Below are 24,097 nucleotides of genomic sequence, written 5' to 3'. Positions count from 1 at the left end.
CGAGGCCCTCGCTTCCCGGAACCCAGCCGGATCTGCCACCATAGAACCAAAGCTAGAAGACCTCCCGTCCCGCTCCCGCTCCCTCTGCACTCCACCCTCGGCTCACACGCCAGAGTACCGCCGCGTCCCCTCCACCTCCAAGTCCCTGGCACCCGCCCCCGCCGGCAGTGCTGCTCCTGTACCGCGCCACTTCCGGGTGTGTCCCACTTGGTGCTCAAAACAAACTGTCCCTCCACGGCTGCCACTCTACGCAGCCGGACCGGATTTCTCAGGCTGGAGAAGCTACTCTGCGCGTCTTCGTGAAGGAGAACTCTTGCGTTCTGCTAGCCAGGGTCCCAGCTCCGACCCTGCTAGTTAGGACAAAGCTCTAGGAGGTGTCTAAGGGGGTGGGGGGAACCGTAAAGGGGAAACACTCGAGATCCGGAAGTGGCGCTCCGGGGAGAAGGTGGCTGCGGCTGCTGGGGCCGCTGCGCCGGCGGCGGTTCCCGATGTGGAGGTCCGTCTTGGGTGGGGAGGCACCCAGGTCGCTGGTTCGATGCAGAGGAAGAAACCACACCTAGCACGTAAAGCCCTGAAAAAATAGAGGTGGTTGTTTTTCTTGAGAAATGGGAGGACTGGGAAGAGGAACTTGGTTGGGTTCACTGGGGAGGGCAGAAGCAATAGGCCGCTGGTAGGAGGAGCGAAATAAGTGACAGATTTCAACTTAGTTCCAAGGTTTATTTGCTGGAAGGAGGGTGGATGTGGGAAGAAAATTGAAGGGATTAGGACATACACCGTTGGAGGATGCGTTTTGGCCAAACGTGTAGACAAGTTCTCGCATTCTGGTACTTTCACAAAGCAATGGTAAAGTACTCCCTAGTTTGCTGATGAGGGGCGGGGGAAGGGATGGTCAAAGAGAATATTGCGGGGAACCATAGGATTGCAGTCTGACGTGGGATTTAGGGAAGCTGCGGGAATAACCAAAATGAAGACAGAATTGAGAGTTCTAGAGACAAAGTGAAAATAACTGATAAGTAATGAATTCAGAGTTGTAAGGGTCGGTGTTGGTTTTATTAGGCTGTAATGAGTATAAAATATTACCTTTCCGTATAATAGCTTACAAGCTAACAAAGTCAAGAAACTCAAACATTAACTCGGAAAATATACACTGGGCTTCAAGGAATCGCATAGGACATGCTCCCCAAGTTTTGCCCAGATTGTCTTATTTTTGGTTATCGCTGAAGAAAACACCTACAACTGCATTTTGAAACTAGACTCCTGGCCAGGCGCGGTGATGCATGCCTGTAATCCCAGCACTTTGGTAGGCCAAGGCCTCCAAATTGCTTGAGCGCAGAAGTTTGAGACCAGTCTGGCCAACATGGAAAAAACCCGTCTCTACAAAGATAATAGTAATACAAAAATAAGCTGGGCATGGTGCCAGTAGTCCCTGCTACTCAGGAGGCTGAGGTGGGAGGATCACTTGAGCCCCAGAGGTGGAAGCTGCAGTGAGCCGTGATCACACCACTGCACTCCAGCCTGGGCGACAGAATGAGACTCTGTCGAAAAACAAAACAAAAAATCAGAAACTAGATTTCTTAAAAGGTTATTAAATACCCACCCATGCCTAAAGCTCTTTCCTGGAATTCAAAATTACCATTTCTTGAAAGAGCTTCAGTAACTGCAACAGAAAAGAGGCCTGAGGATGCCAAGGTGTTTAGGTTTATTTTGTGATTGAAAATAAGGAAATAAGTTTCACCAAAAGAAGCAGCAGCTAATTGCCAATTCAGAGCAGCTGTTCCTTCACAAAAATGCCATAATAACTCAAATATTTGAGTATTATCAAAACTTGCCAAATTATACAAATGAATTAATTTGTTTTTCTGTTATCTGCTTCATCTGAAACACAGGTCAAAGCCATGACTTAGAGGTTTTAACGTAAAGAAAATGGTTCCGCTAATTGTATAGAACCTCTCAGCAGTCTACAACAGTAGCTCCAGGTCTTGTCGTTTTTCTAGAGAAAAAGGGCCTAGTTTTCTTCTGTGGTGATCTATTAAATAAAAACACTATATTAAGATAAATTGGCCAAATATAGGAGTAGAAATGTGACTAAGATGTTTGAACAAATAACATATGGAATGCTAAACATATGGAATGCTAAACGTATGCCATTTTTCTCCTGGAACCAACAAAAAATAGACAAATTCCTGGCTTGGGAAAATTATCTGGGCACTGTGTTTTGGTTTAAGTATCAAAAAATTTGTAGTTTTCAATCTGTGTTCCACTGTGCCCTTTACCATAAGCAGTGAAGATAAATTTAATTCCTTTTCACTAATAGTTTCATTGCTCATTTTTTAAATTGTCAAATGTTAAGCCTTTTCCAAATCTATTATGTCTTTGTATTGTAAGATTTTTCTTCCCCCCACAAATATTGTTTAAGTGTTCTCAAGACTTTGAGGCAGGTTGGTTCTGTAGAGGCAGGCCTGGTTCTTGGTCTTAACAGAAAACCTTCAAGTTCCTCACCATTAAGTATGTTGTTAGCTGTAGGGTTTTTGTAGATGTTCTTTAGCAAGCTAAAGCTCGCTGAGAGTTATCGTAACATAAGTGTTAGATTTTGTCAAATGCTTTTTCTGCATCTATTGATATGAACATGTGATTTTTCTTCTTTAGCCTGTTAATGTGATTGATTACAATAATTGATTGTTGAATATTTAACCAGCCTTGCATACTTGGGATAAGTCCCACTTGGTCATGGCTTATACTTCCTCTTATACATTGTTGGATTTAATCTGCTAGTATTTTGTTGAAGATTTTTGCATCTATGTTCATGAGAAATATTGGTTTGGTTTTCTTATAATGTCTTTATCTGATTTTGGTATTATAGTAAGGCTGGGCTCATGAATAAGTTAGGAAGTATTCCTTTGCTTCTATCTTCTGGAATAGATTATACAGAATTGGTATAATTTCTTCCTTAAATGTTTGATATTACTCACCAATGAACCCACCTAAGCACAGTGTTTTCCACTTTAGAAGGTTATTAACCATTCTGTTTCTTCATTTCTGTTTTTTATTTTCTTATTTATTTCCATCTCCCTGCCTAGATTTTCTAGCTGCAAGATTAAAAGATTGAAAAAGGTAGAGAAAGGCTTCTTTTTTTGTTTAGTTTTCTATTATGTGTGATATATATATGGGATCTTCAACTACAGGGACCTGTATCCCTAATGCCTTGCATATTATGTGGTACCTAATAGGTTATGACAGTGATTTACTTTAACAATTATTCAGGAAATCTGCTTACCTTTTCCTTGTGTACACAGGGCTAGATTATTATTCAGGCTGTCTAACAGCCAGGTGTTGTCAAGTAACTGAGTTCTGACCACCTGAATGTGGATAGAAGTGATGTAGGCACAGGCCTGGCTCATAAAAGCCTCCCACATGACAGCCTTAGTCTTTCTCCGTCACCAAGCAGGATAAAAGTGTGCAGAGGACTCCAAGGTCCAAGGAGATGTTAAGGACAAAAACTAGGAGATTGAGTTTATGAGTCATTGCCTAGAGAAACAACTGCTGATAAGTAACATCCATTAGGATTTTCCATGATTTAGAAATAAACTACTGTTAAACTTACTGAGATTTGGAGGGTTATCTGTCACAGCAGGAAGTATTATTTTAACCAATTCATATAATAGACATAAGCTGATCTTAATTCAACTTTGTTTCAGAAATGTTAAAATTGTAATCAACCAAAGTCTTCTGACTTTATTTCTCCCTTTTGAGAAGGAAAAAAGAAAAACCATTAATTACTACAATCAATAGAACAACAGTTTTCTGGATTTAAAGTCATACACATTAAGCAGCTGTACAGTGCGCTTCTGACTGGCTTCCTAAAGAGTTACAGCATGTAAAGATTCTTAATATACCCTCAGAGTTAAGTGTAAACAAATATCCAAGTCACGTAGATATTATCTCACTATGAAAATTGGGCACAGTATAGATCATAAGTCCAGTTGGCAAGAAACTAATCATCATTGGCTCAAGTTATTTATGTATGTTAGTTTAATATTCTGAATTTACTCATTAGCTGAGACATTCTTTGAATGCCCACTATGTGTTTTACAGCATACCAGTCACTTAGGCATGCCCACATTGAAGGAGCTCAGTTTCATTGGAATCACAGATATAAATGACCTATTAAAATATTATATGATTAAGTAGATTATGTAAAAAGTGCTGTGGGACACTGTAAAAAATCATTTAGAACTATGTGAGAAAATCAGTCAAGGTTTAAGAGAGGAGTTACCAGTTACAGATAACAATGTATTTTTTTCCACTGACCTAAGCCTTTCAAGCAAAATCAGAAAACTGTAATTTTCACTAAAATAAATCATCAATGGAATGACCTAGTTTAAGACCCTTTTGGAAGACAGATAGAGTCCTAGAAATCTCTACTACATCAAAACAAATCAGAGGGATAGGCAAACATGCCAATATAACTGAATAAAGAGCCCAGAAAGAAACCCCTTCAAACATGGCATCTTTATATATGACAATCAATGGCAAAGAGTGCATATTTCAGTAATTGATACTAGAACAATTACTACCTATATGGAGAAAAATTAGATTCCTACCTCAGATGTAGGAAAGAAGTCCAAGTTTTATGAAGCCAAAAACTTATAATTTGGGGATTCCTAAGGAAATTCCAAAATAAATTAACTTTTGAAAATTTTGTAAAAACACAACCCATGTGAACATTACTTGGGCTTCTCCCAGAGCCTTGAAAAGAGCTTATACAAGTGATGGTAGAGTAAATCTACCTCTGTTCACAACGAACACAAAAATAAACTCAAAATGGATTAAAAATTCAATATTTTTTTTAATTTTTAGAGAAATTATAGGACAAAAATTGTTATGCCTCAGAGAGGAAGGAATTCTTAAATAAGGTAAGGCACAAAGACATAAAAAGGACAAACTTTCAATGAAAAGCTTAGTAAGTTTATACATTAAAATTAAAAAAGCTTGTTCATCAAAGAACATGTCAAAATACAAGCACATGTCAAAATACAAGCCACAAGCTGGGTGACGATGATGAAAAATGTTCATTACTCAACAAAGAAAAAGAACTCATTTTATAATACACTACAAATTAATGAACAAATGCAATAGAAAACCAACCAATTCATAGAAGAGGAAACCCAAATGTGTAATAATCACAAAAAACATGTTCAGCTCCACTAATCAGGGGAATTCAATTTAAAACAATAATGACCTATTCCATACCTATCAGACTGACAATATTTTTAATGTATAATGTTAATGAGTGGCATGATAGGAACCTAGTGCACTGTTGCTGAGAACAACACAGTGGAGAGGAATTAAGCAATATCTAGCAGAGTTGAAGACGCATATACCCTATGACCCAACAAATCTACTTGTAAGTATTATAGAAACTTGCAGGCCAGGCGCAGTGGCTCACACCTGTAATCCCAGCACTTTGGGAGGCCGAGGCAAGCGGATCACCTGAGGTCAGAAGTTCGAGACCAGCCTGGCCAACATGTAGTAAAACCCCATGTCTACTAAAAAAAAAAAATACAAAAATTAGCCAGGTGTGGTGGTGCACGCCTGCAGTCCAGCTACTTGGGAAGCTGAGGCAGGAGAATTGCTTGAACCCAGGAGGCAGACGTTGCAGTGAGCCGAGATCGCACCAGTACACTCCAGCCTGGGTGACAGAGCAAGACTCTGTCTCTCAAAAAAAAAAAAAAAAAGAAAGAAACTTGTGTGTATGCACAAGGAGATATGTTTAACACTATTTTGCAGCATTGTTTGTACCAGTTGAGTATCCTTTATCCAAAATGCTTGGGACCAGAACTGTTTCAGATTTCAATTATTTTCAGATTTTGGAATATTTGCATTATACTTACCACTTTAACATCCCTAATCCAAAAATCTAAAATCCTCCAAAGAACATTTCCTTGAGGGTCATGCATATTATACACTCAAAAACGTTCAGATTTTGAAGCATTTTTGGTTTGGGGATTAGGATGTTCAACCTGTATTAGTAAAACAGTGGAAACAATTGAAATGTCAGTAGGACAGTAGTTAACTATCATATTCATACAATAGAATATTACATAGTAGTGAAAATGAATGTTATGACTTTCAAATATTTTACCTACAGTGAGAAATATATTTCATACCATGACTCAATATATATATGCTTATATATAATCACATACATATATGTATATAGGCATTAAATTGAGTACTTATGATACATTTTATTTACTGTTCTGTTTTTTCTAAAGCAGTTCATGACCTGCTATATTGATTTTCTGTGCTACTAATGATTTGAAACCTACAGTTTGAAAAAAAAAAAAAACTAAACAAAGTTATATATTTATCAACATGAATAAATCTGAATAACAAGTATAGCATATTATATAGTGTGTGTATATATATGTATATATACACATACATACATATACATGTATATGGTATTCAAGAAATGCTATATATTGTGATACCTATATTTATATAAAGGAATAATTTTTAAAACTTATGAGAAAGGTAAATACCAAATTCAGGATAGTATTATTACCTCTGAAGAAGAAGACATGGAAAATAAAACGGGAAGGGAATACTGGGTATTTCAACTGTATCTGTAATGTTTTCCTTATTTTACAAAAGGAAAAATGTTAATATTTGATAGGTGTTGAGTACATGGGTGTTATTCATATTTTTTTCAAAATACTTGATTATTAAAATTAACTAGAATAATATTTCTTAATTTTATATCACACTTTGAAAAAAAATCATCTCACTTTTTCCAAACAGGAATTTACAGGTATTTTATTATCTTAATTATCTGTAGCAAATTTTAAAGGAACGTTGCTGGGTGCAGTGGCTCACACCTGTAATCTCAGCACTTTGGGAGGCCAAGGCAGGAGGATCACTTGAGGCCAGGAGTTGGAGACCAGCCTGGGCAACATAGTGAGACCCCATCTCTTTAAAAAAAAAATGTGTGTGTGTGTGTGTGTGTGTGTATTTTATTTTTTTAATTGGCCAGGTATGATGGTGTACACCTATACTCCCAGCTACTTGGGAGACTGAGGTGAGATGATCACTTAAGGCCAGAAGATCAAGGCTGCAGTGAGCTATGATTGTTCCACTGCTTTCTAGACAGGGTGACAGAGCAAGACTCTGACTCTAAAAAAATAAATAAGGTAAAATAAAAATAAGAAGCCCAGCACAGTGGTTTATGCCAGTAATCATTCCCAACATTTCAGGAGGCCAAGCAGGAGGATCACTTGAGCTGAGGAGTTCAAGACTGGCCTGGGCAAGACAGTAAGACCATCTCTACAAAAAATAAACAAAAAATTAGCCGGGCATGGTGGTGCATGCTTGTAGTTCCAGCTGCTTGGGAGGCTGAGGTGGGAGGATTGCTTGAGCCTGGAAGGTCATGGCTGTAGTGAGCCGAGATCGCACCACTGCACTCCAGCCTGGGTAACACAGTGAGACCCTCTCTCAAAATAAATACAGTCAGGCATAGTGGCTCATGTCTGTAATTCCAGCACTTTGGGAGACCAAGGCAGGCAGATCATTTGAGGCCAGGAGTTTGAGACCAGCCAGGCCAACATGGTGTAACCCCATCTCTACTGAAAATACAAAAAAATTAGCTGGTCGTGGTGGCACATGCCTGTAGTCCCAGCTACTCAGGAGGCTGAGGCAGGAGAATCACTTCAACCGGGGAGGTGGAGGTTGCAGTGAGCCGAGATCATGCCACTGCATTCCAGCTTGGGCAACAGAGCAAGACTCCGTATAAAAACATAAATAAATTAAAATGTTTTAAAAAGTTGTGGTCAATCTTTAGGGTTATCTTAAGTATCTTTTTTTTTTTTTTCAAGACAGGGTCTGACTCTGCCGCCCAGACTAGGGTATGGTAGTACAATCATGTAGCTAACTATAAACTCAATTTCCTAGGCTCACGTGATCCTCCCGCCTCAGCCTCCTGAGTAATTAGGACTACAGGTGTGCATTACCACACCTGGCTAATTTTAAATGTGTGTGTGTATGTATATATATACACATATAAGTGTGTGTGTGTGTGTATATATATACACGTGTGTGTGTGTATATATATATGCATGTATGTATGTGTGTGTGTGTGTGTATATATATATATGTATGTATATGAAATGGGGTCTCACTATATTGCCCAGGCTAGCCTTGAACTCTTGGCCTCAAGTGATTCTCCAGCCTTGGCCTCCTAAGGTACTAGGAGGCATGAGCCACCACAACTGGCCAATAGAGATCTTTTTGTTCTCCAATTTTGCCATGCTAATTAATAGAGATACTAGGTGTGGTGGACTAAATGGTGACCAAAAAGACATGGCCTAATCCCCAGAACCCATTACTATTCCCATATATAGTAACAGACTGAATATTACCTTATAGGGCAAAATATGTAGTTAAGAATTTTAAGGGCCAGCATGGTGGCTCATGCCTGTAATCCCAGCATTTTGGGAGGTAGAGGTGGGTGAATCACCTGAGGTCAGGAGTTCAAGCCCAGCCTGGCCAACATGGCGAAACCCCATCTCTACTAAATATACAAAAATTAGCCAGGTGTGGTGGCCTGCACCTGTAATCCCAGCTACTCAGGAGGCTGAGGTAGCTTGAACCCAGGAGGCAGAGGTTGCAGTGAGCCAAAATTGTGCCACTGCACTCCAGCCTGGGCAACAGAGCGAGACTCCATCTCAAAAAAAAAAAATTGAGAGGAGTGTTATCCTAGATTTTCCAGGTGAGCTCTAAATCCAGTAACAAGTGTCTGTACAAGAATGAGGCAAAGAAAGATAACACAGATAGGAGGAAGCAATGCCACCATGACGACACAGACTGGAATGACACCGTTAACAGCTGAGGATGCCAAGAACCACCAGAAACTGGACGAGGCAAAAACAGATTCTCCTCTAGAGCCTCTAGAGAGAGTATAGCCCTGCTGACACCTTGATTTTCTTCTGACCTCCAGCACTGTGAAAGAATAAACTTCTGTTGTTTAAGCCACCCAGTTTACAGTAATTTGTTGTAGCAGTCATATTTTAAGAAGAAAACTGGGGGAATAAATTTGGTGTAAGGAAATGTTATAGGAAATCTAGGTCCACCTGCCTGGTTATGGTGACAAAGGGTGAATACTTTCCTAAGTTAGCAACATCAGAAACATCTTTAAAGTCTTTTTCTACATGAATTTCCTTATTGGTTGCAGTGATTTTAAAATATGTCCACAAATTATTTAATTATACCCCCTCCAAAAGTTGGAGCCTAATTCTCCTCCCTTTGAGTATGGATTATATTTATTGGCTTACTTCTAACAATACAATGTGGCAGAAGTGACCGTTTGTGACTTCCAAAATTAGGACATAAAAGACTTTGTGGCTTTCTCCTTGTTCTTTGACTTAGATTATTCGCTCTGGGAGAAGCCAGCTGTTGTGTCATAAGGATACTCAAGCTGCACTATGCAATGTCCACATGGCAAAAACTCAGTCCTCTTGCCAACAGGAAACCCAAGAACTTGGGCTATCTGAGCACAGTCAGCCTTAAAATGACTGTAGTTCGGGGCCGGCCTTCAAGCGTCAGCAACGCAAGACGGCAGCCACCATGGGCTCGGGAGTAAAAGTCCCTCACAATTTCTGACTGTTGGAAGAACTCAGAGAAGGCCAGAAAGGAGTAGGAGATGGCACAGTTAGCTGAGGTCTAGAAGATGATGAAGACATGACAAAAGATGGACAGGGATGATAATTGGGCCTCCAAGAACAATTTATGAAAACCAAATATACAGCCTTAAAATAGAATGTGGACCTAAATACCCACTAGCACCCCCCTTTGTAAGATTTGTAACAAAAATTAATGTAAATGGAGTTAATAGTTCTAATGGAGTAGTGGACCCAAGAGCCATATCAGTGCTAGCAAAATGGCAGAATTCATATAGCATCAAAGTTGTCCTGCAAGAGCTTCAGTGCCTATTGATGTCTAAAGAAAATATGAAACTCCCTCAGCCACCGGCAGGACAGTGTTACAGCAATTAATCAAAAAGAAAAACCACAGGCCCTTCCGCTTCCCCCCGCCCGATTCGATTTAAGCAGTCTTCGTTTTCCACAGTAGTAAATTTTCTAGATACATCATGTAGACCTCAAAGTACTGGAAAGGAAGCTCCAATTCAAAGGAAATTTATCTTAAGATACTGTAAATGATACTAATTATCCATTTGAAATATATAAGTTTTGCTATAACAAATCATCCTATCAAGTGTAACCACTGTCCACGTAGTTGAACTTCTGGAATCGAGAAATTCTAATTAAATTGATTCCCATCATAACTAGTGGGGCATATCTAACTCAACTGTGAAAAGAAACATCACACAATCACCTTGCTGATTACATGGCCTGGGGGTCTCTGCCTTCTCCCCTTACCCTCCTGCCTCCCACCCTCCCTGCAACAGCCCTCTAGCTTGGCTTGTTAGAGTGGATGTGAAGGTTTCAGGTTGCAGCCTGTGGGACTACTGCTAGGTGTGTGGGGTGCTTCACCTGCACCCCTGGTTTCTTTAAGTCTTATGCACCTTCCAATCCGTCATCCTGTCCCCACACTCCTCCACTCCTGCCTTTGGCAGAAGCATAGGTTGTAACCCCTCCGCTCCCCTCTAAGATTGGCCTTTGGTAAGGAATTCAGGGCTTTCCCAGTATCTTCTCTCCCCCACCTTTATCGAGGGATGCTGTTTTTTCTTCCCTCCTCAAGTTGCTTTCTGCACCATCACCACTCAATACCTTCCATGACACTTCCTTGCTTTGGGCAGAAGCCATCAGGTAAGGTTAGAAAGTCTCTAACCTCCCTTGTTTAGTTTTGGAACCATACTTATTCATTCTCCATCAGCCTGGGAAATGAATATTGGGTTTTCAGCCCTGCCACCCTCTGCTGTCGTCAGCTGATGCGTTGTTTTTAGCTCAGGTTTTGATAAGGTGAAAAGGAAAGTCACCAGGGTTACTCAGACCTGCCAGCTCTCGGAGTCCTTGGTGGTTGAAATTGGAGAAAGACCACAAGAAGACACTTGTAAGCACACGTGATCCCTCTGAATTGTTTTACTTCCTGTAATTGCTTTTGCTTTTAAAAACTGAAGAAGTTTTAAACAGGGCTTTCATTTGGTCATCCTTGCAATCCATTGAGGTCTAGTTTGGAATCTGACAACTGGAACAAAAAGAACCTTGAATCCAGTGCGTGCCTTGGTTTTGGTGCTGCTGCTGCTTCTCAAGATCCTCAGCAGGGATTAAGAAAGAACCCAGTGTGCATAGCAGATCCCTGAAATTGGCGGGCTTGACCTCCTGGGAAATTGGTGCGTCTTTCCACTTTCTGTTCAGGACCATTAAATGCTGAAATGTGGATGCATACCGAAATAAAAGTAATTCATTGTGTAAAAAAATAAAATAACTCTAGTTCAGGATGACATCTTGACTGCAACCTCATGAGAGACCCTGAGCCAGAACCCCCTAGGTAAGCTGCTCTTAAATTCCTGAACCACAGCAGAAATTATGAGATAATATTTAGTGCTTTAATCTACCAGATTTTGAGGTAATTCCCCCCCTTTTTTTTTTTTTTTTTTTTTTTTTGAGATGGAGTTTTGTTCTTCTCACCCAGGCTGGAATGCAATGGCGTGATCTCAGCTCACTGCAACCTCTGCCTCCCGGGTTCAAGCAATTCTCCTGCCTCAGCCTCCTGAGTAGCTGGGATTACAGGTCCCCACCACCATGCTCAGCTAATTTTTATATTTTTAGTAGAGACGGGGTTTCACCATGTTGGCCAGGCTGGTCTCGAACTCCTGAGCTCAGGTAATCCATCTGCCTTGGCCTCCCAAAGTGCTGGGATTACAGGCATGAGCCACCGCACCTGTCCTTGAGGTAATTCTTAACACAAATAACTAATACACTGATGCACCTTCTAAATAAAGTGCCATTTTTGTTCAGGAGGCCTTAGCATAACAAATATCACAATCCTATGAATCTCTAGAAGTTGTCATGTACTAGATGATTACTGACATCAACACAAGTTATAATACCTTAAGAATGATACCATTCATTCAGTACTTCATATGTATATGAATTTTACCAGCACAGAAACTTAGCCTAGGAATCTGTCTAGTTCTCCTATTATTAACATCATACATGAGTATGGTACATTTGTAATGATCAATGAGCAAATATCAATCCATTATTACTAACTAAATTCATACTTTATTCAAATTTCCTTACTTTCTCTTTATTCTCTAAAGTTCTGTGAATCCATGGTCCTATATCTGCACTAATTCACTTGTGTTTTTTCTATATACTTCTGCATCTAAAATACTATTTTTACTAGATTTTTTACCAGACTAATTTCATTGAATGTCTTCCAAAGTATGAACACTTTTATTTTAAAGTTTTCTTAATATCCTCATGGTAACATCAAAATTTAAGGAAATCTGCTTGTCATCAAAAAGGGTTTTGGTAATGCTTTGTTAGATTTGCAAACTTTTCATATTATTTGCTCTTACATCACTTCCATGCTATTTCCTTTGCTTTTAGTGTATTAATTTTGTTCAAAATGGTAAAATAAAAGAAATATTTATACATTATATTTTTAAGTATCTATTTCCTTAATCTAAGGTAAACTTTTCTCAAGGCATTTTAACTTAACAGGATATTACATAGAAAAAAATAGGGGAATAATATCTGACACACTTCAAATGTTCTTTGAACTTTGTTAGTTTAGTGTCAGTTATTGACTGCTTGAATTGGAGAACCCCCTGCTCATATCAGTAACAGCTAGTCAAAATTATCAAGAACATTAAGAACACATCACAGAAATCACTGTCATCAGTTATAGATAGAAAGGAAGATTGCACAGTGAGATGATGTATTCAATAGAAGGTTGTGTGTAGTAAAAATAAGAATTGTAAATGTAAGTCAACAGTAAATCCAAAAGCCATGTCTTTCCAGGGAAATCTAAAAACTATGTTTCCTACTTTCAAAATCCTTTCATCATTACAAGAGTTATTCTTTTCTGGTTCAAAAATCTTGCCTACCTCCTTTTAAAAGTTATTCTTTAAAACATTAGGCCAGATGAGCTAATTTCAGACAGCTTATTTACCTGCTCATGGATTTATATGCCACCTGCTTTTGCTTTTTCTACAGATGCAAAGTCAACCTCTGGGGCAAAATTCCACCTTTCTCTTTCTGCCACACAAGTGGTAAATAACATGACCCAATAAATTTTAGCATTTCCCCAAATGTGTAGGATACAAAAAATGTATTCATTCATGTGAGATATAAAAATGTACACTCACACTTCTGAAATCAACAGCCAGCCATTTCACACTTGGGCCAAAGGCAAACAAACATAATTCTCACTGGCAGCTGGACAACATTCCGAGCTGCCACCACATTAATTAACTCACCTCAATCAGATTCCACTTCAACTTGCACAGCTTGCTGCCAAGAAGCCTAGCAATAAATTGTTAGGTTAAATACTGAACAAGGTAGGGAAATACCATATGGTATGTTGTTATAGAGGCTGGGATATTCTTGTTTAACACTAGTAGCAGGGTTTTCCATTTACTTTTTATTGTCTCTTGTGATTTGAGAAAAATGAGTATATGCTCTTGTTGATAAATGAACTTGCATGTCTTATTGTGAAGGGGAATGGGATGGTAACAAGTTAACAAAACACCTTTGTCCACAAGCTTCTATAGTTGATATTCCCTAAATCGGAAGACAACAGCTTACTTAGCAAGTGCTGGGAGCCCATTAATAGTAAATTATTGGTATTAAACCTTTGGGGAATGTCAAGGAACAAAGACCTCAAATTCCGTTTTCATTTAGGTGTACCGGGAATTTACAAATAAATACAAACTATTTATAACTGGAAAAATTGTAGCTTAGGAGTCAAGATTTAAGTGTGAGTCTGGTTTCTGCCTCTGACTGGCTGTCCACTTTGGCCAAATCACTTAACTTCTCTCATATGATGTCCTTATCTGTCATATGAAGGAGTTTGACTATATGAATGGTTCCCAAACCTTAATGCACATATCATCTTAAGGAGCTTGTCAAAAATGCAGATTCTTGGATTCCATCCTTGGCTTGAAATTGATTCGTTTTGACATGGAGCCTAGTAGTCTGAATTTGTAATAAGCAATACATTATTTTGCAGATATAGAACCCATACGTTGAGAAATAACTGGTCTACATGACATATTGTATCCCTTTACCTCTGACGGTGTATTATTGTAATTACCAATCCATATCATTGTTTTTATAATGTGTGGTGTGATTTTGGAAAGTGGTATAAATTGGGAGTGGTAACTCAAGCCTTAATATACAATAGGCAGTTCAAAACTCTAGTGAAAAAAGACTGAGAACACCTGAATATGACTACCCAGGTGCCTGTGAGCATTTTCTTGGGTTGTAGGATGGGTGATAGCTGACTGACTGTTCCCTCTAGTAATCTTGCCTGTACATATAGTAAGACTGCACATCTAAACAAAAACATTGAAAGCCATCCTACAGATCAGCTTTATTCATATTCCTGATCACTCACCCAGGATAAGGCTTTCTGTGCTCTAAGCGTGTTGTTATGAATGCTCATTTCATTTCTTTTGCTTCTTGTGTGTCTGGTATATTCTGCTTCTTTGTTAAATTCTGAAATCAAAAAACAAATATTTTATCCTTGTTTGTGAGATTTCAAAAGACTAGGAACTTTTGAAAACCTCATTCTCTTTAAATTCTAGGACATGATTTGATAAGTAAAGAAAAAGCTCTTACTGGAAAAAGTTCTTATTACTTACTGAATAGGTGCATATGGATTTATACTAATCCATGTATCTTTTTCCATCTGATTCCTCTAATGACTAGCAGAGAGCCCTAAGGTAGCTGTCTGGGGCCAGCCTTAAATTAGGAAAAGAGCATGCTTAACAGGTCCATATAAGATGGTGTGCAACACAGGCTTTTCCCATCATATTGCAAACTTAACAGACTTGAAGATCCAAAACTAATCATTATTATTTTACTTTTAAAACTGTGGAATCACCTTTGTTATTAGTTTCTATCAGTGGGGGATGTAAAATGGCAATGCAGTAGTTGCTTTACTATTCAATCTTCACAAAAGAAGTCTGATTCTCTTCGATTTAATCAGTTCTTTCCAAGCTATTTTAATTATCACAAACATCCCCAAGTTTTAATAATGTTCCTCAGAGTATGGGTAGATTATCCTTATTGGTCTTTGTATTCTCCTCAGCCACTAAAAGCAGGCTCTTAACTTGGTAGATTCTCAATAATGGAATGTTGGGCTAAAGATATGTTGGCAGAAAAGGAAGTGTTGAATCCTGTTGCAGACTTCCTCATCCCCTGCAGGTGGTGCTGGGAGATAGGTTCTCTATTTACGTATTTAATCATAATTAGTTGGGTTAGTAAAGGTGTTCTCAGTTCTTAGTTTAAAGCTGTTGTAATTACCTAAATTTCTTCCTCCCCTTCACTCTTGTTACTGAGTCACAGAGAACAAAAAGATTTAAAAAGGTGATCAAACTGAAGAAAATAGAGACATTAAGATAACTGATGGTGTCTCCCAGGCCTAGCAGTAGAAAGATGCTGCAGGGCTTTAGGAGAAAGAAAATTTGTACACTCTTACTTTCAAAAGAGAACATATATTCAGGAAATTTTTCTATAGACTATCTGACTATCTCACCAGAACTACTGTATTAACTCTAGTACTGAATCTGTCATCCTTATACATCAAGTATTTCTCACCATGGTCATGTATCAGTGGTTATTAGTATTTGGGACTTAAAGGTTTCCTGTACAATGCTGTCTATGACACCACCCAGGCACAGTTAGCAGCCCTCTCCTCTGTCTTCCTCCAGATTAATGAGTGTATTGCTTATTTTAATATCTGAATCTTCCACTCAATTGGGAGCTCCTATAAAGTAGAGACTGTGTCTTTATCATCGTTGTATCACTAGTTCTTATGTTGCTTCTTTGAATGTAGTAAACACTAAATACATTAAATAGATAAAGCAATCAACAAATCAATTAGAATACTGTCAGCCACATAACTTTAGAGTTGCCTGAAACCAATATGAATTTCTCTTCTATCATTCCTACCCTGAAGCTTACTGATGCCAAAATTAGAGGTCAGTGAAGATGGTCATAATTAAGGAAGCTAGTATTTTTTAATTGATATAACACGATCCCCCAGTATACATTTCTAGCCATATCTCCTCCACCTCCCCCATGTGAATCTTTCACAACTACCAGATTGGTCTGTTTGCTCTCTCTGTAACATGCCTTATACCCTCCTACCTTTAAAATTATGCCATCCCTCTATTTTGCCCTTAGTCTTTTTTAATCAGTGGTTCTCAGAGTGCTTCTCGGGGGCCCACAATGTCAATGGTACGCTCATAATAATACTAAGATGCTATTTGCCTTTTTACTCTCATTCTGTTACAGGTGTACAGTAGAGTTTTCCAGAGGCTACATGACATGCAGTATCACAACGGAAGCAAATATAAGAACCCACCTGTCTCCTGTTAAAATGCAAAATGTAAAACAATACCACTTTGCTAACTGTTTTTGTTTGGGGAAATATAGTTCATAAAAATATTTATGTTAACATGTAATTTAGGTTAAAATAAATTAATAAATATTTGTAAATTGTCTGTTTTAATTTCTAATATGGTAAATACAGATAGATATAACCCATATAAACAAAACCTGTTTGGGGTCCTCAATAATATTGAAGAGTGTTATACAGGGGTCCTAAGGCCAAAGAATTTGATAATGCTGCTCTAAGTCTTCCTTATCCATTAAAGTCCAAATGAAAGCTGGGAACAGTAGCTAATGCCTGTAACCCCAGTGCTTTGGGAGGCCGACATAGGAGGATTACTTGAGGCCAGGAGTTTGAGACCAGACAGGGCAACATACGGAGACCCTGTTGCTACAAAAATAAATTTAAAACGTAGTTGGTCATGGTGGCACATGTCTGTAGTCCTAACTACTTGGGAGGCTGAGGCAGGAAGATCACTTGAGCCTAGGAGCTTGAGGCTGCTATGATCCCGCCACTGCACTCCAGCCTGGGTGACAAAGCAAGACCCTGTCTCTGAAAAAATAAATAAAATAGTTTTAAACTTAGAAAAAAAAGGTTCATGTCAAAGCCTTCCTACTCGATAAGACTTTTTGACCACTGCAACTAGAGAGGATCTTGTCTGTCTCTGAATACTACACACTTATGGCACTTACACACTTATGGCTCTTTTTTATCATTCATCTAGTACAGACCTTGTGCCAAAAAGGAATATTGTTATGTGGATTCAGAGTGATAATTAAAGACATGTGTTTGATGGTGAATCATAAACAACCCTTTTACTTCGCAGTCTCTCTGATTAGTCTTCCCAGCCTAAAGGAAAAAAAAAAAAATCTTGACTTTTCAACCTACCCTTTCTCCTAAGGAAAATAATAATAAAGTTTAATAATGATATATGTAAAATATTTGTTATGGTCATCTTTATTTTAAACCTGATAAATGTTCATTGAAAAAGAAAAAAACTAGAAATTCAAAAATTAAATTTAACCACAATGCCATCATTCTGAGGTAACAACTGCTAACATTTTAGTGCATACATATCCAGTCCTCTTCTATACAGGTATTTTTCCACTATATTTACGTTATATGGAACATATTATTGTCTTTTTTTATACACTATTTTTAAGACACTTTTTTGTTTTTTACTTACTGTCAGGTGGGTGTTACATGGTATTTAAAGAAACAGGTAATGTTCTAACTATAATAAATGAGCTCATGATGAATTTTTAAATATATAATGAACATTTTTCTGTCATTATTCATTATCTCAAGTAACTATAATTTGTTCATTATATTTTATATATGTATGTATGCACACACACACAAGGATTTATTTAACTCTACCATTAGACATTAAGATTATTCTAATTTTTAATACTATAAATGATACTTGGATTTTCTTCCTTGTATACACATTTTGCCTATATCTCTGATTATTTAGAAAAATTCTTAAAAAGGGAATTATGAGGTCAGGATAAACAATTTTAAGACATTTAATCTAAACATGCAATCATCTTTTGATGCCACTTCATCTTTTTCAGTAGAGTAAAAACAAAATTGTTATTTAAGAGAAAAGGAAAGGAGTTCGAGAGGTAGTGAGGAAAAGCTGGGAAAGCATATGGAAGAAGGAATACTCACAGAAAAATTGGTGCCAAAAAAGAGAGAAGGAGAAGAAAAGCCGGAAGCATAAATAGAATTGAAGAATACATAGAAAGGGATAAAACGAGGCAAACTGAACAGAGGTTTTAGAGTCAGGCAGATGTGGATTTAAAAGACAAGGCATCTACTAATTATGTGACCTTAAGCAAGTTACAGAACTTTTCTCTTCATTAAACTGTTTTTTAAAATTGGAAACAGAGCAAATTAGCTTCAGTACTCATTATTTGGACTGACCTTGAACCCTGAAGCTTATGCTTTATACCTGTGCTAGTGCATGCACTCACTTACCTTTCTCTTCTATCAAGCAAAGAAGCAGGTAGTAACACCCTTTTGCCACTCTGCTTTCTGTTATTTCATCTCTAGTCTTTGGTTTCTCTTCCACAAACTGAGAATAATATTAGGAATTAGGAGCCTAGTCGGACTAGAAACTAAGAAAACAGGTTGTTTTTTCTCATGAAATTTTTGGCCCTTCATGCTTCTAACTGTGCCAAAGAATGTCTTAAGACATTTTATTTGGCTCTTCTACTTGAAAATCTAAATAGAACCTGCCTGCACAAAGGTACAAGCCCATCACCAAAAATTTAATATGACTGAAACAGAAAGTCAAATGGGTTGTATATAAATTAATGGTAAAGACTTGCATTGGTTTTTTTACTCTGAAATAATGCATTTCTACTGCTTTTAACTGCTTAATTAGTTTCAGGTTGGTAGAACTATCACCTCTGTGAATGTTGGAAAATTCACTGTAGTTTCCTTATTTGACTCCTCTTTTTCTGTTTAGAGGGTGTTACAGATAGGGTTGACAGTGGCTTTTCACATAGCAAAAATATTTTAGGCACCCAGCAAGAAACATTAAAGTGTCACATAGCAAATATTTCACATACTTTAGTTGAGATCAGTCATCTACAAACTGGGGAAATAAAGGACCATTTGAAATAAAGAATGGGTGACAAAGGTGATTTTCATTCCAATCTAACAGAAGCACTAAGTGGGATTAGACCAGACCAAATTTCTGACTTATTCCGGGCTCTTAAGGCTATCCATTAATCTTATCTCCCACTCAGCAACAATAACTTCCAGGCAGTTTTTCTTTGTCTTCTCCTCTCCTGGTCTAGTCTAGTCTAGTCTAGTCTAGTTTACTCTATTCTACTCTACTCTACTGTACTCTACTCTACTCTACTCTACTCTACTCTACTCTACTCTACTCTATTTTGAGACAGAGTCTCTCTTTGTCTCCCAGGCTGGAGTGCAGTGGTGCAATCTCAACTCACTGTAACCTCCACCTCCTGGGTTCAAGCGATTCTTGTGTCTCAGCCTATAGAGTAGATGAGATTACAGGCACCCGCCACCATGCCTGGCTAATTTTTGTATTTTTAGTAGAGACAGGCTTTCACCATTTTGGCCAGGCTGGTCTCGAACTCCTGGCCTCAAGCGATACGACCGCCTGGGCCTCCAAAAGTGCAGGGATTAAAGGCATGAGCCACAGCATCCAGCCCTTTTTCACTTTTTTAATATCCGTATTCCCAAAGCTCTGAAGTAATTGTGGATCACAACAGTCTAGTTAAAAATCTCTGCATATATTCTAGTTAATTTCAGCTTTCCTAAATCAACTTAGCTATATTTACCTCACTTATTCCTTTATCCTTCCCCTTTAACTTCCTTCCTTTGGTAATTCCCTCCACCCTTAACCCCAATGCACAGACTTTAATTGAAAAAAATTGTTTGATTACATCCTTATACTGGTGAAATTCTTAGATGTTGATTATGTAATATGTACAATTTCTGGCTCTCAGTTTCCAAAAATGTTAGTCAGGTCTTAGAGATTCTCAGCAAAAATAATGAAAGACTCTTACAAAAGATGTCAGTGGGTTTACATTAAAATTCTTAATATACAACTAGCATCATTTATTATCTTTTCTATACTGACATTATAGATCTGTTGAGAACAATGATAGTATCCTTTTAAGATATTCAGTTATTTTAAAAATATCAAATACATTGAGTTTTTCAGGCCATGAAGATATTTTTCATAAAAAATTTGCATCTCCCGGCCAGGCGCGGTGGCTCATGCCCCTAATCCCAGCACTTTGGGAGGCCAAGGCATGTGGATCACCTGAGATCGGGAGTTTGAGACCAGCCTGACCAACATGGAGAAACCCCGACTCTACTAAAAATACAAAATTAGCCAGGCGTGATGGCGCCTGTCTGTAATCCCAGCTACTCGGGAGGCTGAGGCAGGAGAATCACTCTAACCAGGGAGGCACAGTTTGCAGTGAGCCAAGATCGTGCCACTGTACTCCAGCCTGGGCCACAAAAGCGAAACTCAGTCTGGAAAAAAAAAAAAAGTACAATTTTAAAGGCCGGGCGCGGTGGTTCGCTCATGCCTGTAATCCCAGCACTTTGGGAGGCCGAGGTGGGCGGTTCACGAGGTCAAGAGTTTGAGACCAGCCTGACCAACGTGGTGAAACCCCGTCTTTACTAAAAATACAAAAATTAGCTGGGCGGGGTGGCACGCGCCTGTAATCCCAGCTACTCGGGAGGCTGGAGCATGAGAATTGGTTGAACCCAGGAGCTGGAGGTTGCAGTGAGCCGAGATTGTGCCACTGCATTCCAGCCTGGGTGATAGAGCAAGACTCTGTCTCAAAAAAAAAAAAAAAAAATTTGCATCTCCCTAGTAGGAAAACATATCATCAGTACTATGGATTATGGATAAGCTGATTATGGATAGTACTTTTCTTATGCCACGTGCCTTATTTAACAGTTTTTTAAAAACTTTATTGATAATATTGTATAGCCTTGATCTGCACTGTCCAACATGGCAGTCACTTGCCACATGTGGCTATTTAGATTTAAATTGTAATTAATTAAAATGGAATAAAATTATAAATTTGGTTCCTCAGTCACAAAGCCACATTCAAATGCTCAATAGCCATATATAGCTATTAGCTACCCTGTCAGCATAGAAAGTTTTATTGTGCAGCACTAGTCTAGATGAATTAAATATAGTATCTGATAATAATCAATATAATTATCTGCCAGTCATAAATAAATTTTAACTATATCTAAAAAACTAATCATTTATATCTTTTATAATAAAGTGACAAGGTGGTTTTAATATGCTCCTAATGAAGCAACTGAAAAAAATAGTGTTAATTGAACAATTTAGCAAAAATGCAACTCACATAAACTATATGCATAACATTTCTTGCACCCTTCTTATAAATAAATTGACAAGTACATATGTACCCTTCAAAATGTGTATGAATCTTATCACTGTTTTATTCATTTGAAGAAGGGTCTCCCTTTGTCACCCAGGCTGGAGAGCAATGGCAGGATCATGGCTTACTGCAGGCTTGACCTCCTGGGATCAAGCCATCCTCCCACCTCAGCCTCCAAAAAACTGGGACTACAGGCGTGTACCACCACACCCGGTTAATTTTTTAAATATTTCTGGCCAGACGCGGTGGCTCACACCTGTAATCCCAGCACTTTGGGAGGCCGAGGCAGGCAGATCACTTGAGGTTACGAGTTCGAGACCACCCTGGCCAACATAGTGAAACCCTGTCTCTACTAAAAAATACAAAACTTAAGCCAGGCATGGTGGCACACACCTTTAGTCCCAGCTGCTGGGGAGACTGCGGCACAAGAATCGCTTGAACATGGGAAGTTGAGACTGCAGTGAGCCAAGATCTTGCCACTGCACTCCAGCCTGGGTGACAGAGTGAGACTCCGTCTGAAAAAAAAAAAAATTTTTTTTTCGAGGGCCAGGCACAGCCTGGGTGACAAAGCAAGACTCTGTTTCAAAAAATATATATAAATAAATAAATTTTTTTTTGAGGGCCAGGTGCAATGGCTAATGTCTGTAATCCCAGCACTTTGGGAGGCCAAGTCAGCCACATTGCTTGAGCTAGGGAATTTGAGACTAGCCTGGACAACATGGCAAAACCCCGTCTCTACAAAAATACTAAAATTAGCTGCATGTGGTGGTGGGCACCTGTAGTCACAGCTACTCAGGAGGCTGAGTTGGGAGGATGGCTTAATAAGCCTCAGAGGCTTAAGCCTGGGAAAGCAAGGCCACCGTGAGCCAAGATCGTGCCACTGTACTCCAGCCTGGGCGATAAAACAAGACACTCTCTCTACAAAAAAAAAAAAAAAAAAAAAAAATTGAGACAGGGTCACACTACCTCGTCCAGGCTTGTCTCAAACTCCTAGGCTCAAGCTATCTTCCCACCTCTGCCTCCCGAAGTGCTGGGATTATGGGTGTGAGTCATCACGCCAGGCCTCTCATCACTGTTTTAAAATGCTAACTTCCCATGAATTCTAGGGAAGTTCTTCTCCCAGAAATATATGGGGACTGAGTCCAAGTTCTATGGGAATGGGTAGAAATAGAGATTAACATTAATATGTGTCCTTATTGTTTGGTGGGTACACTGTGCATTGCTCCAATGGTGCATGCACTGAAGGCCCTGATTTCCCACAACACAATATACCAATGCAGCAAAATTTCACTTGTACTCCATGAATATATACAAATAACAAAATATGCTTTATTAAATGTGTTTAAAATTCTGTTGTCTTTTAAAAGTGTTTTGAGAGATTAAGCTTCATGAACTGTAGAAAACTGGCTGGGTGAAAAGTAACTTGTTCTGTTGTCATCCATCCAAGAATGCAGACAGTCAGATCATTCCAATATATCTCCTGCCAAAGGCTTTTGGAGAATGGCTATAGACTGAGGTTGTTCTGGAGGTGGAATCAGTTAGCTATATATTTCTTTCTGTTGTCAGCATACACTGGGAAACACACCTGCTACACAGAGTTTATCATTTCTAAAATGATCTGAGAGTTTATTAGTCATGCCAAAAACTGTCCAAGTCAGACAGTTCCACAAAGGAAATAGAAAATTCCTGGCCAGGCACAGTGGCTCACACCTGTAATCCTAGCACTTTGGGAGGCCGAGTTGGGTGGATCACCTGAGGTCTGGAGTTCAAGACCAGCCTGGCCAACATGGCAAAACCCCGTCTCTACTAAAAATACAAAAAAACTAGCTAAACGTGGTGGCAGGCGCCTGTAATCCCAGCTACTTGGGAGGCTGAGGCAGGAGAATCGCTTGAACCCCAGAGGCGGAGGTTGCAGTGAGCTGAGATCGTGCCACTTCACTCCAGCCTGGGTGAAAGAGCGAAACTCCGTCTCAAAAAAGAAAAGAAAAAATTCCCTTGACCCAGAATGTTCAGGTTGTAATGCTATGGCTGACTCCCTCATCATGAAAGGATTCAGAATAGGAAAATGTTAAAAGTTTAGGTTACTGGATCAGTTGCCTTCTGTCAATAAAACTATGAGAAACCTATAATGTGCTTTTCTGTTTGGTTTTCCCTTTTATCAGCACCCTTCACCGCACATACAACTTTTTTTATGTAGACCTGACAGAAGTCTAGTTCAACAGGGATTTTTTTTTTTTTTTTTTTTTTTCTGAGACAAGGTCTTGCTCTGTCACCTAGGCTAGAGTGCAGTGGTGTGATCAAGGCTCACTGCAGCCTCCTGAGTAGCTGGGACCAGAGGCGCTCGCCATCGCACCCACCTGTAGAGACAGGGTCTCATTATGTTTCCCAGGTTCACTTTGAACTCCTGGGCTCAAGAGATCCTCCCACCTTGGCCTCTCAAAGTGCTGGGATTACAGGCATGAACCACCACACCTGGCCTCAACAAGTATTTTTTACAATACTTTCTGTCAAAAAGCCAACTATAATTTGGCCCTTGCCCTCAAAAAGCTCATTCTTTAGTGAATACTAGCCTTAAACAGTTAAGTGCCATGATAGAGTTA

At 38.9% G+C, this 24,097-nt stretch overlaps 1 protein-coding gene and 1 long non-coding RNA gene across 6 annotated transcripts in view, besides 4 other annotated features; one reads left to right on the top strand and one right to left on the bottom strand.

The window, feature by feature from the left end:
- The window catches only part of VPS13B (vacuolar protein sorting 13 homolog B), an 864,307-nt gene extending 864,127 nt beyond the window's left edge, over positions 1–180 (bottom strand). For all 5 annotated transcript variants that reach the window (NR_047582.2, NM_152564.5, NM_017890.5 and 2 more), the window contains exon 1: positions 107–180. The gene's annotated coding sequence lies outside the window, so the exon portion shown is untranslated. The remainder of the gene's footprint in view (positions 1–106) is intronic.
- Positions 59–353: an enhancer, noted in NCBI's record as "tiled region #5914; HepG2 Activating non-DNase unmatched - State 1:Tss, and K562 Activating non-DNase unmatched - State 1:Tss". NCBI's record gives its function as "activates a minimal TATA promoter and a strong SV40 promoter by Sharpr-MPRA in HepG2 and K562 cells {active_cell/tissue: HepG2 | K562}" and the evidence as "EXISTENCE:reporter gene assay evidence [ECO:0000049][PMID:27701403]".
- Positions 59–435: a biological region, named in NCBI's record as "Sharpr-MPRA regulatory region 5914".
- Positions 191–365: a silencer, noted in NCBI's record as "fragment chr8:100025317-100025491 (GRCh37/hg19 assembly coordinates)". NCBI's record gives its function as "represses an EF-1alpha promoter that drives an FKBP-Casp9 reporter gene in an ReSE screen in K562 erythroleukemia cells {active_cell/tissue: K562}" and the evidence as "EXISTENCE:reporter gene assay evidence [ECO:0000049][PMID:32094911]".
- Positions 216–435: an enhancer, noted in NCBI's record as "active region_27682". NCBI's record gives its function as "activates an Ori minimal core promoter by ATAC-STARR-seq in GM12878 lymphoblastoid cells {active_cell/tissue: GM12878}" and the evidence as "EXISTENCE:reporter gene assay evidence [ECO:0000049][PMID:35858748]".
- On the top strand, positions 425–17,523 carry VPS13B-DT (VPS13B divergent transcript). Its single transcript, NR_187478.1, has 2 exons — positions 425–585; positions 16,488–17,523. It is a non-coding gene; the product is annotated as a VPS13B divergent transcript (long non-coding RNA).
- The last annotated feature ends 6,574 nt before the right edge of the window (positions 17,524–24,097 follow it).

This window comes from Homo sapiens, chromosome 8, assembly GCF_000001405.40.
Source record: "Homo sapiens chromosome 8, GRCh38.p14 Primary Assembly".
Classification (NCBI taxonomy): Eukaryota; Metazoa; Chordata; class Mammalia; order Primates; family Hominidae; genus Homo; species Homo sapiens.
This window is presented reverse-complemented; position numbering and strand designations above follow the sequence as displayed.